This window comes from Homo sapiens, chromosome 16, assembly GCF_000001405.40.
Source record: "Homo sapiens chromosome 16, GRCh38.p14 Primary Assembly".
Classification (NCBI taxonomy): domain Eukaryota; kingdom Metazoa; phylum Chordata; class Mammalia; order Primates; family Hominidae; genus Homo; species Homo sapiens.
In genome coordinates, this window is record NC_000016.10 from 90077683 (window position 1) to 90089952 (window position 12270).

The following is a 12270-nucleotide window of genomic DNA, read 5'->3' on the forward strand; positions in this document are numbered from 1 at the left end:
CTCACTTCCCTCCTCAGGCCTGGGTCTTCTGAGGGGACACTGTGTCTTTTTGAATTGCCAGAGTTCTTGCACTGACTCTCATCTGGGAGGGTTGGTGTTCCTTTAACTGTGGTGTAAGTTGGGTATTGTCAGCTGGCTTCGTTTCTGGATGCTTCAGAGGGCCAGGGTTCTGTACAGGGCCCTTACGGGTGGGTGAATTGTGCTTGGTTTCACAGATGTTGTATTAGCTGGCCAATTTTGGTGTTGTAGTTAGGGCTGTGATCCAATAGATGGTGCTTAAGAGGAACGGCTGCTATCTCCAGCAGCAAGGTTCTTCTGTACTTCGCGTTCGCAGGTGTGCTTTGCATTGAGACGGGAGAGCGATAGCCCCCCATCAGCTCCTGGACCTTGAGGGGAGCCTCCTGTGATCACTGGCGCCTGCCTGCGTTTCTTTTGTTAGGTGTTCTGAGCTGCGGGGCTCCCTCGGGCAGAGGCTGCATAGGTCGCCCCCTTTCTGGACTGGCCCTCTGGAGGGAGGCATGCCTCGCTCCCTCGTTGCCCAGGATCCCACATGTCTCACCTCTCTCAGTGCTCTGAGAGTGGGGGCTCCTGCTCCGTTCGAGTGCTGGCCACAGATCTCCCCCTCGGTATCCCTAGCTACGTGCCACAGCCCTGGGGACACCAGGAAGTCCTATGGCTTGGGGTTGGGCTCTCGCTGCGCTGGGGAATCCAATGTGCTCCTGGGTCACGGGGAAGGTACTCAGGTGGAGCAATGCACTCAGGCTGGGCTGCAGAGGCTGCACTGTGCACCTACTCTTGCAGAGTGGCTAGGCATGGGCCCTGGGAGGGGCCAGTGGACAGGAGGACTTGCAGAACGGAGGCACCCAAGTCCCACAGGGAAGCTGCCACTGCTGTCTCCTGGCTCAGACGTCAGCTGCTGCCAGAGTCTCCTCCAATTAAAATTGATTTAATTAGCTTATTGTTCTGCGGGCTGTACAGGAAGCATGATGCTGGCACCTGCTTGGCTTCTTGGGAAACTTACACTCACAGCTGAAGGCGAAAGGGGAGTCAGCACTTGACACGGCCAGAGCAGGAGGAAGAGAGAAAGATGGGGAGGTGCTATACACTTTTAAACAACCAGATCTCACTGTACAGTTCCAAAGACGGATGGTGCTAAACCATTCATAAGAAGTTTGTCCTGTGATCCAATCACCTCCCACCAGGCCCGACCTCCAACACTGGGGATTACATTTCAACTAAGTTTTGGACACAGATCCCAACCAGATCATTCCATTCTATGGAATGCTACCGTGTAATGCATCATCTATTATCATTAATTCAAAATAAATTAAAGACTGAAATGTAAGACCTAAAAGTACAGAACTCCAAGAAGAAAAAAAATAAAATCTTTATAACATTGTAATGAACAATTACTTCCTGGATATGACACCAAAAGTATAAGCAACCAAAGCAAAATTAGATAGATGGGAGTACATCAAACTTAAAAACTTCTGTGTAGCAAAGGAATCAACAGAGTGACAAGGCAACCTATATAGAAAGGGAGAAAATATTTGCAAATCATATAACTGGTACGGAGTTAATATCCAGAAACTTATAAAAAAAGTCTTATAACTCAACAACAAACAATAATTTGACTAAAAAATCAGGTGGGGTGCAGTGGCTTATGCCTGTAATCGCAACACTTGGGAGGCCAAGGAGGGAGGATTGTTTGAGGCCAGGAGTTTCACATTAGCCTGAGCAACATTTTGAGGCCTATCTCTACCAAATTATGTTTTTTTAATTAGCTGGGTGTAGTGGTCCATGCCTTAAGTCCAAGTTACATGGGAGGCTGCGGTGGGAGGTTAACTTGAGCCCAGGAGTTCAAGACTAGCCTGGGCAACATAGGGAGATCCCAACTGTACAAAAAATTAAAAAATTAGCTGGGTGTGGTGGCACTTGCCTGGAGTCCTAGCTACTTGGGAGGCTGAGGTGGGAGGATTGCTTGAGCCCAGGAGTTTGAGCCTAAAACGAGTTATGGTCACACTTTTCTGTAATGTCACAGAAATGGGATCACACCTTATGTGATCTTTTCAGAGTGGCTTCTTTCACTTAGCGATGTGCATGTCAGATTCATCAATGTCTTTGCATGGCTTCATAGATCACCCCTGTTTCTTGCTGAATAGCATTCTATTGCATGGATGTACCCAACTTGGTTATTTATTCACCTATTGAAGGTCATCCTGACCCCTTAAAGTATTTGGCCATTATGAAGAGATCAACTGTACATAACAGCATATTGGCTTTTGTTTGGACTTAAGTTTATAAAGTTGTTATCTAAATACCTAGTAGTTGGCCATGCGCAGTGGCTCACACCTGTAATCCTAGCACTTTTGGAAGCCGAGGTGGGTGGATTGCCTGAGCTCAGGAGTTTGAGACCAGCCTGGGCAACACGGTGAAACACCTTCTCTACTAAAATACAAAAAATTAGCCAGGCGTGGCGGTGTGTGCCTGTAGTCTCAGCTACTTGGGAGGCTGAGGCAGGAGAATGGCGTGAACCCAGGAGGTGGAGGTTGCAGTGAGCCAAGGTCACACCACTGTACTTCAGCCTGGGTGACAGAGCGAGACTCCATCTCAAAAAAACAAAAAACAAAACAAAAACAAAACCAGATAAACAACAACCAAAAAAAACAAAAAAAACCCCCAAAACCTAGGAGTGCTTCTATGGTGAGAGCATGTTTAACTTTAATATAAACTGCTGTATTGTTTTCTGAAGTTGCTGTATCATTATGCATTCCACTATCATTGAATGAGAGTTCCTGTTGCAACTTATTTTAATTTTATTTATTTATTTGTTTTTTTGAGAGAGAGTCTTGCTCTGTAGCCCAATCTGAGTGCAGTGGCATGAACATTGCTCACTGCTGCCTCTACCTCCCAGGCTCAAGCAATTCTCCCACCTCAGCTGGGATTACAGGCATGTGCCACCAGGGCTGGCTAATTTTTTTTTTAATTTTTGTTAAAGATGAGGGTCTCACTATGTTGCCCAGGCTGGTCTTGAACTTCTGGTTTCAGTTGATCCTCCTGACTTTGCTTCCCAAACTGATGGGATTACAGGCATGAGCCACTGTGCCCCGCCTCCTGTTGTAATTTTTATTGCATTAAAAAAAGATTTTAGTCAGTTTAGTAGATGCTCAGTGGTATACCATTGTTGCATTAATTTGCTTTTCCCTCTTGACAAGTGCCATGAGCGTTCTTTTGGATGCTTGTTTGCTGTCTTATATCATTTTTAGTGAGGTGTCTACCTTTTAATTGTGTTGTGTTCTTGTTGAGCATTAGAATTTCTTTGTATATTTTGCATATAAGTCCTTTTCAGGTTTGTTTTATAAATATTTTCTCTCAGTCTGTGGCTTTGTTTTTGATTCTTGTAACAGGATGTTTCACAGAGTAGACATTTCAAATTTTAATAAAGTCCACATTATCAATTTCTTTTTCTTTTATGGACTAGCTTTTGCTATTGTATCTAAAAGTTTATCACCAACCCAAATCCATGTAGGTTTTCTTCTATAACTTTTACTATTTTATATTTGGAAATTTAAGTCTATAGATTATCTTGAGTGATTTTTTGGCTGACCCGTGAAGTTTGTGTCTTTGTTCATTCCCCCACTATGGTTTCTGTTGTGCTGTCACCACTTGTGGAACAGACTTTTCTTTCCCCATTGAATTGCGTTTGCCCCATGACAAAATCAGTTAACTGTATTTATTCGGGTCTTTTGGGTTCTCTATTGTGTTCCATTTATCTTTTTGCTTATTCCGTCACCAATATCACTCTTCATTACTTTAGCTTTGTGGTAAAGATAACAATAGTAAGTTATTGTTTCTAAACGAGGACTATCTGCATTTATTTATATATTTTTTATTCCTCTCAACCATGATTCAGTTTCCTGAATGCATATTTGTTTGTCTTTTGTTAGATTTATACTCAATGAATTGAAATTTTAAAGAATATCATTTACAATAGCACACCCAAAATTTAATTCATTAAATTCAAATTATTCCTATACATTATTGGTGATATAAAAAAATCAGCTAGGGCTGGGCGCGGAGGTTCTCGCCTGTAATCCCAGCGCTTGGGTGGCTGAGGCGGGAGGATTGCTTGATCCTTGGAGGCGGAGGCTGCAGTGAGCCAAGGTCATGCCACTGCCTCTCCAGCCTGGGCTACAGAGCAAGCCTCCGTCTCTAAAATAAGAAAGAGAAAAAGAAAAAGAAAATCCATTGACCTTTGTCTACTGGCCATCTATTTTACTTGTTAAAAATCTCCATGCGTTCTGATCAAGGCATGTGATGGTGGGCTCGATTTCAGTTGAAATTTCCAAAATCATGGCCCGGAGTAATCTGGAGGCTGAATTTCAGAGATTCCCGAGGGCTGCCGCGAGGGGGCGCCCAGCCCCTGCTAAACCCGAGCGCTGCGCGCTTGAGCCGTATCTGATCCGCAAGGCGGCGTTGCGGGGCGTTTACCGTGAGGACAGAGCTTCCTCCCTCAGGACGCGGCTGGGAGAGGCTGCGGCCTCGGGAGACATGGGGACACTTGGGGCCGCGTCCACAGTGAGACAGGGAGACGCTGCTGCAGCTTCGGGACACCTGGGGCCGCCCAGGCGAAGATGAGGAAAAAGCTTCCTGTTGCCGTTGAGTGTAGCGGCGGGAGCGCGGCCGTGTTTCCCTGTCCGCCGTTTGTAGCAGGACCTCACTTTATATTAATAAAAGCGTCCCCTCATGAGGGCTTGGGCTGGTCACCCCCAGCGCAGGCCAAGATGCAGGTTATGGATGTGAGTTTGTTTCTGGGGAGAGACCCTGGTACCGGGAGAGGAGACGCGGTCAGGAGGCTGGGGACGGGAAGGCGCCACAGCCTGAGGCCGAGAAAACAGGCGCCCCCGGATCAGTGCTCGTTTTTTTTGGTTTGGTGTGTGTGTGTGTGTGTGTGCGTGTGCGCGTGCGCGTGCGTGTGTGTGTGTGTTTTGAGACCGAGTTTCGCTCTTGTTGCCCAGGCTGGAGTGCAGTGGCGCCATCTCGGCTCACTGCAACCTCCGCCTCCCAGGTTCAAGCGAGTCTACTGCCTCAGCCTTCCGAATAGCTGGAATTACAGGGACCCGCCACCACGCCCAGCTAAGTTTTTGTATTTTTAGTAGAGATGGGGTTTCACTATGTTGGCCAGGCTGGTGTCAAACTCCTGACCTCAAGTGATCCACCTGCCTTGGCTTCCCAAAGTGCTGGGATTGCAGGCAGGCCTGAGCCACCATGCCCTGCTGCTTTTTTTTTCTAAATTAAAAAAAATTTTAGGCTGTCTTTGCTTTGATAAAATACATAGGAGTATTTTGTGTGAAGTTGCTGTAACTGCTGGGGAATCTAAGAGAAGGGATAAGTTAAACTTTGCTATTGCAATAATCCTAGAAGAAGGAAATTATTGTAAATTATAAACAACCACATTAATACCTTGTCAGTAAAGCAGAGACATCAAACTTCATTATAGAGGCCAAACCAATCCAAATCCAGGTCAGTGGAAGCTGTGTACCAAGCGCCCTGCTGTCATGTCAGTATTGCGGCTGTCATATCAGTATTACAGGTGTCATATGAGTCTTAGGGGTGTCATAGTAGTACTGTGAGTGTCATCAATATTGCGGGTGTCTTGTCTGTATCGTGGGCGTCATATCACTGTTGCAGGTGTCCCATCAGTCTTATGGGCATCATATCAGCCTTATGGGTGTCATATCATTATTAAGGGTGTCATATGAGTCTTAGGAGTGTCATGAATCTTGCGGGCTTCACATCAGTTTTAAGGGTGCCATAGCAGTCTTGCCGGTATCATCTCCATTGTGAACGTCACAGCAGTGTTGTGGGTGTCATATCAGTATTACGATATGCCATGATATGTTATACCAGTATGACACCTCTTCTGAAAACAGTCATACCTAGACATAGTGCTTTGTTTGTTTGTTTGTTTGTTTGTTTGTTTGTTTTGAGACGGAGTCTCGCTGTGTCGCCCAGGCTGGAGTGCAGTGGTGTGGTGGAGTGGTGTGATCTCTGCTCACTGCAAGCTCCACCTCCCGGGTTCATGCCATTCTCCTGCCTCAGCCTCCTGAGTAGCTGAGACTGTAGTCTCAGCCACCATGCCCGGCTAATTTTTTGGCATTTTTAGTAGAGACGGGGTTTCACTGTGTGAGCCGGGATGGTCTTGATCTCCTGACCTCATGATCTGCCCGCCTCGGCCTCCCAAAGTGCTGGGACTACAGGCCGGGAGGCGGAGGTTGCAGTGAGCCGAGGTTGCACCACTGCACTGCACTCTGGGTGACAGAGCGAGACTCTGTTTTGGGGGAAAAAAAAAACTCATACATGGAAAATTCCAAAACATTGCTGAAATAAATTCAAGAAAACTTTTGGCGGAAATTCACAAGCTGATCCTATCATTTATATGAAATTTCAAGGGATGCAGAATAACCAACATAGTGTCAAAGAAACCAACTCAGAGGCTCACATTTCCAAATTTCAAATCTTACTACAAAGCAACATTAATAAAAACAACATGATTTTGGCATCATCAATGGAATAGATCAATGGAACTGAATTCTGAGTCCAGAAATAAACCCATACTCCTATGAGCAATTGTTTTATTTTTTGAGGCAGGGCCTCACTCTGTCTCCCAGGCTGGAGTGCAGTGGCACAATCATGACTCACTACAACCTCTATTTCGTGGGCTCAAGTGATCCTCCCACCTCAAACCTCCCAAGTAGCTGGGACTAGAGGTGTGCACTACCACAGCTGGCTAATTTTTTTTTTTTTTTTTCAGGTAGGGTCTTTCTCTCCTGCCCAGGCTGGCCTCAAACTCCTAGCCTCAAGTGATACTCCTCTCTTTGTCTCCCAAAGCACTGGGATTACAGGTGTTAGCTACCATGTCCAGCCTGCTGATTTTTAAAAATGGAATTTCTTTTTCCTTTCTTTTTTTCTCTGGGCATGGTTTTGCTCTGTTTCCCAGATTGGAGTGCAATGGTGCGAACGCAGCTTATTGCAGCCTCAACCACCTGGGCTCAAGCAATCCTCCCTCCTCCGTCTCCTGAGTAACTAGGACTACAGACATGCACCACCACACCTAGCTAATTTTTAAGTTATTTGTAGAGAGAGGGTTTCCCTGTGTTGCCCAGACTGGCCTGAAACTCCTGGGTACCCAGTCTCAGGTATTTATAGTGATGGGAAAAAAGCTTAATACAGAAAATTGGCACAAAGGAGTGGAAAATTGTTATAAGAATACCTGAAAATGTGGAATCAGCTTTGTAATTGGGTAAACAGGCAGAGGTTGGAAGAGTTTGTAGGATTCAGAAGAAGACAGAAAAATGAGGGAAAGTTGAGATTTTCTTAACTTTGAATGGCTTTGACGAAAATGCTGATAGTGATTTGGACGGTGAAGGCTGAGCTGAGGAGGTCTCAGATGAAAATTAGAAACTTATTAGGATCGAAGCAAAGGTCATTCATGTTGTCTTAGCAAAGTGGTTGGCTGAATTTCTGTCATGCCCTAGGGATATATAAAAGTTTGAATTTGAAAGTGATGATTTAGGGTTTCTGTTGAAAAAATGTCTAAGCACTAAAGCATTGAAGATGTGGCCTGGCTGCTTCTAACAACCTATGCTCACATGTTGGAGCAAAAAAAAGTAAGTTGTAATTTATTTTTACTTGCAAGGGAAGTATAGCGTAAAAGCTTAAAAACTTTGCAGCCTACTCATGTGGCAGAAAAATAAAAAGCTTTTACAAGAGAGGAACTCGAGCAGGCTGTGGAGCAATCACTTGTTAGAGATATTTGTATAACTTAAAAAAAAAAAAAAGCAAGTGTTGATAGCCAAGACAATGGGGAAGAGGAATTGAAGGCATTTTAGAAATCTAAAAGGCAGCCCCCCATCACAGACCCTGAGGCCTAAAAGAAGAGAATAGTTTCTGGGATCAGGCCCAGGAACTGCTGCCTTGGGTAGCCTTAGAACATGGCTCCCTGCATCCTGGCCACTGCTCCAGCTCCAGATGTAGCACAAATTGGCCCAGTTAAAACTCCAGTCACTGCTTCAGAGGGTGCAAGCCTTAAGCCTTGGTAGCTTTCATATGGTGTTAGGCCTGTGAGTGTACAAAATGCAAGAGCTGAGACTTGGGAGCCTCCACCTTTACTTCAAATAATGTATAAAAAAGCTAGGGTGTGCAGGCAGAAGCATGCTGCAAGGGTGGAGCCCTCATGGAGAACCTCTACTAAAACAATGCAGCAAAGAAATGTAGGGTTACAATCCCCATGTGGGTTCCCCACTGGGGCATGGCCTAGTAGATCTGTGAGGAGAGGATCACTGTCCTCCAGATCCCAGAATGGTAGATCTAGCTACAGCTTGCACTTTGCACATGGAAAAGCCAGAAGCAGACAAAACCAGCCAGAGGCACGCAATACCAGCCCATGAGAGCAGCTGTGGGGGCTGAACCATGCAAAGCCACAAGGTCTAAACGTCCCAAGGCATTAGTGTGCCCTGGAAATGGGACATAGAGTCAAAAATAATTATTTTGGAGCCTTAAAATTCAATAACTCCCCTTCTGGGCTTCAGACTTGTATGGGTCCTGTGGCCTCTTTTTTTTTTAGCTGATTTCTTCCTTTTAGAATAGGAGTATTTACCCAATGCCTATGCCCCATTTGTATCTTGGAAGCACTTAATTTGTTTTTTATTTTACAGGCTTATAGGAAGAATAAACTAGCTTTGTCTTAGATGAGACTTTTGACTTTTGAGTTAAGGCTGAAATGAGTGAAGACTTTGGGGATTATTGGGATGTCATGATTATATTTTGAAATATGAGAAGGATATGAGATTTGGAATGGCCAGGGGCAAAATGATATAGTTTAGGTGTGTGTTCGCACCAAATTCTTATATTAAAATGTAATCCTCAATGTTGGAAGTGGGCCTAGTGGGGAGGTGATTGAATCATGAGGGCAGGATTTCCATGAACAGTTTGGCATCATTTTCTTTGGTGCCATTCTCACAATAGTAAGTTTTCATGAGAGCTGGTTATCTACAAGTGTGTAGCACTTCCCCCCACCCTCACACTTACCATGTGATGTGCAAGCACCGGATTTATTTTTCACCTTGATTGTCAGTTGTCAGAGGCTTCACCAGAAGCAGAAGCCAGTGCTATGCTTTCTGTACAGCCTGTAGAACCATGAGCCAATTAAACCTATTTCCTTTATAAATTAACCAGTCACCGACTGTTTTTACAGCAATGTGAGAATGGCGTAATATTTCCGTCAAAAAACTGTTAGAAGTAATAACTTGAGTAAATTTGCAGAATACAAAATTAACATATACAAATCAGTAAGATTTCTATATGCCAACAGTCAACAAACTGAAAAAGAATTCAAAAAAGTAATCCTATTTGCAATAGCCACAAATAAAACAAAATGTGTGGGAATTTACCAAAGAAATAAAAGTTCTCAACAATTAAAAATGTAAAACACTGATAAAAGAAATGAAAGAGAAGACAAAAAAATGGAAAGTTATTTCTATGTTCACAGATTGGAAGAATCAGTATTTTAAAAAATGTCCATACGATCCAAAGCAATCTATACATTTCATGCCATCTCTATCAAAATAACAATGACATTCCTCACAGAAATAGAAAAAAAATCTGAAATATATATGGAACCACAAAACACCATAATAGTCAAAGCTATTCTGAGTATATAAACTAAAACTGGAGGAATCCCATTACATGGTTTTAAATTGTACTATCAAGCTATAGTAATTAAAACAGCATGACACTAGAATAAAAAGACATAAAGACAAATGGAATGAAACAGAGAACTTAGAAACAAACTCATACAGCTAAACTAATTTTCAACAAAATTGTCAATAACATACAACAAAAAACAAGACAGTTTCTGTAATAAATAGGGCTGGGAAAACTGGCAAGCCATAGGCAGAAGAATGAAACTAGAACCCTATTTCTTGCAAAATACAAAAATCAAATTAAAATGAATTAAGGACTTAAACCTAACACCTCAAACTATCAAAATTTTACAAGAAAACACTGGGGAAACTCTTTAGGGCATTGGTTTGGGCAAAAATTTCTTAAATAATGCCCCATAAGCACAGACAACCAAAGCAAACATGGACAAATGGAATTACAGCAAGTCAGAAAGCTTTTTTAAAGTGAAGGAAACAATAAACAAAGTGAAGAGAAAACCCACAGAATGGAAGAAAATATTTGTAAATTACCCATCTGAAAAGCAATTAATAGCTACATGATATGGTTAGGCTTTGTGTCCCCACCCAAATCTCATATTGAATTGTAATCCCCAGGTGTTGAAGGAGAGACCTGGTAGAAGGTGATTGGATCATGGGGTTGGTTTCCCCCAGGCTGTTCTTCTGATAATGAGTGAGTTCTCATGAGATCCGATGGTTTTATAAGGGGCTCTTCCACCTTTGCTTCACATACATGCTCTCTCGCCTGCCATCATGGAAGAGGTGCCTGCTTCCCGTCTGCCATGATTTTAAGTTTCCTGAGGCCTCCCCAGCCATGTGGAACTGTGACTCAGTTAAACCTATCTCCTTTATAAATTGCCCAGTCTCGCCAGGCGCAGTGGCGCATGCCTGTAATCCCAGCACTTTGGGAGGCTGCGGCGGGTGGATCACGAGGTCAGGAGTTCAAGACCAGCCTGGCCAAGATGGTGAAACCCCATCTCTACTAAAAATACAAAACTTAGCTGGGCATGGTGTTAGGTGCCTGTAATCCCGGCTACTCAAGAGGCTGAGGCAGAGAATTGCTTGAACCCAGGAGGTGGAGGTTGCAGTGAACCGAGATCATACCAGTGCACTCCAGCCTGGGCGACAGAGCAAGACTTCATGTGAATACATAAATAGATAAATAACCCAGTCTCAGTTTTTTTATAGCAGTGCAGAAACAGACTAATACACTACAATATATTGAAGTGAAAAGCTGCTCCACATTACTGATCATTATAGAAATGCAAATCAAACCCAAAATGAGATATCATTTCACCTCAGTTAAGGTGGCTTTTATCCAGAAGTCAGTCAAAAACAAATGTTGCTAATAGCCAAGATTTGGAAGAAACCTAAATGTCCATCAGCAGATGACTGGATAGAGAAAATGTGGTACATATATACAATGGAGTACTATTCAGCTATAAGAAAGAATGAGAGTCTGTCATTTGCAGTAACAGAAATGGAACTGAAAGTCTTTATGTTAAGTAAGTCAGGCACAGAAAGAAAAATGTCACATGTCCTCACTTATTTGTGGGTGCTAAAATTTGAAATAATTGATGTCATAGAGAGTATAAGGGTGGTTACCAGAGTCTGGGAAGGGCAGTGGGGGAACAGGGGGTTAGTGGGGATGTGAAATGGGTACAAAAAATTGTTAGAAAGAATGAACAAGACAGTATTTGATAGCACAACAGGGTGATTATGGTAAAAAAAATTTTAATTATACATTTTATAAAAACTAAAATAGTATAATTGGATTGTTTATAACACAAGCTATAAATGCTTGAGAGGACGGATACCCTGTTTTTTATTATGTATTACTCATTACATGCCTGTATCAAAGTATGTCATGTACCCCCATAAATATATACACCAACTATGTACCCATAAAAATTAAAAATTACAATTAAAACCAAAGGGAGGAGAGTCTAATGAGGCAGGTGTGACCCATGGCTTGAACTAGCTTTTCAGGGTAACTTTGGAACGTTTTTATCCAAGAAGAGGGGTCCATTTAGTCAATAGGGGCTTAGAAATTAATTTTTAGTTTGTAAGTGGAAAAAAGAGAATTTTTAATCCTGAGCCATAGCTCTCAGTCAGTCAGTCCCTGCAGGGAACCCTGTTCTTTACTCTGGAGATAAACACTATTTTTCTTTTCCACTGAATAACACCACATTTCAAAATGAGGGGAAACATCTTGAAACTAAGAGGTATGGCCTTATTAAATTTGATTTGGTTTCCATTGTAATTAATTTAATCACATGTGTTCTAGAGTTTGTCCTCAGTCTTCTACTTTAGGCTCATGATCTGTTGAATTTGCTCAGCTCCCTGCTCAACAGCAGGAAATCAGAATTATTTAAAAGCCTCATTGTGGCTGGGAGCAGTAGCTCATGCCTGTAATCCCAGCAATTTGGGAGGCCAAGGTGGGCAGATCACTTGTTGTCAGGGGTTTGAGACCAGCCTGGCCAACAGAGTGAAACCCCATTTCTACTAAAGATACAAAAATTAGCTGGGT

At 43.1% G+C, this 12270-nt stretch overlaps 5 annotated features.

Annotated features, from left to right (window-relative positions):
* Positions 91-180: an enhancer, noted in NCBI's record as "active region_11434". NCBI's record gives its function as "activates an Ori minimal core promoter by ATAC-STARR-seq in GM12878 lymphoblastoid cells {active_cell/tissue: GM12878}" and the evidence as "EXISTENCE:reporter gene assay evidence [ECO:0000049][PMID:35858748]".
* Positions 301-440: an enhancer, noted in NCBI's record as "active region_11435". NCBI's record gives its function as "activates an Ori minimal core promoter by ATAC-STARR-seq in GM12878 lymphoblastoid cells {active_cell/tissue: GM12878}" and the evidence as "EXISTENCE:reporter gene assay evidence [ECO:0000049][PMID:35858748]".
* Positions 4222-4877: an enhancer, noted in NCBI's record as "H3K4me1 hESC enhancer chr16:90148312-90148967 (GRCh37/hg19 assembly coordinates)". NCBI's record gives its function as "activates a minimal SCP1, AML or CMV promoter by ChIP-STARR-seq in naive H9 embryonic stem cells {active_cell/tissue: H9 hESC(naive)}" and the evidence as "EXISTENCE:reporter gene assay evidence [ECO:0000049][PMID:30033119]".
* Positions 4676-4805: an enhancer, noted in NCBI's record as "active region_11436". NCBI's record gives its function as "activates an Ori minimal core promoter by ATAC-STARR-seq in GM12878 lymphoblastoid cells {active_cell/tissue: GM12878}" and the evidence as "EXISTENCE:reporter gene assay evidence [ECO:0000049][PMID:35858748]".
* Positions 4878-5532: an enhancer, noted in NCBI's record as "H3K4me1 hESC enhancer chr16:90148968-90149622 (GRCh37/hg19 assembly coordinates)". NCBI's record gives its function as "activates a minimal SCP1, AML or CMV promoter by ChIP-STARR-seq in naive H9 embryonic stem cells {active_cell/tissue: H9 hESC(naive)}" and the evidence as "EXISTENCE:reporter gene assay evidence [ECO:0000049][PMID:30033119]".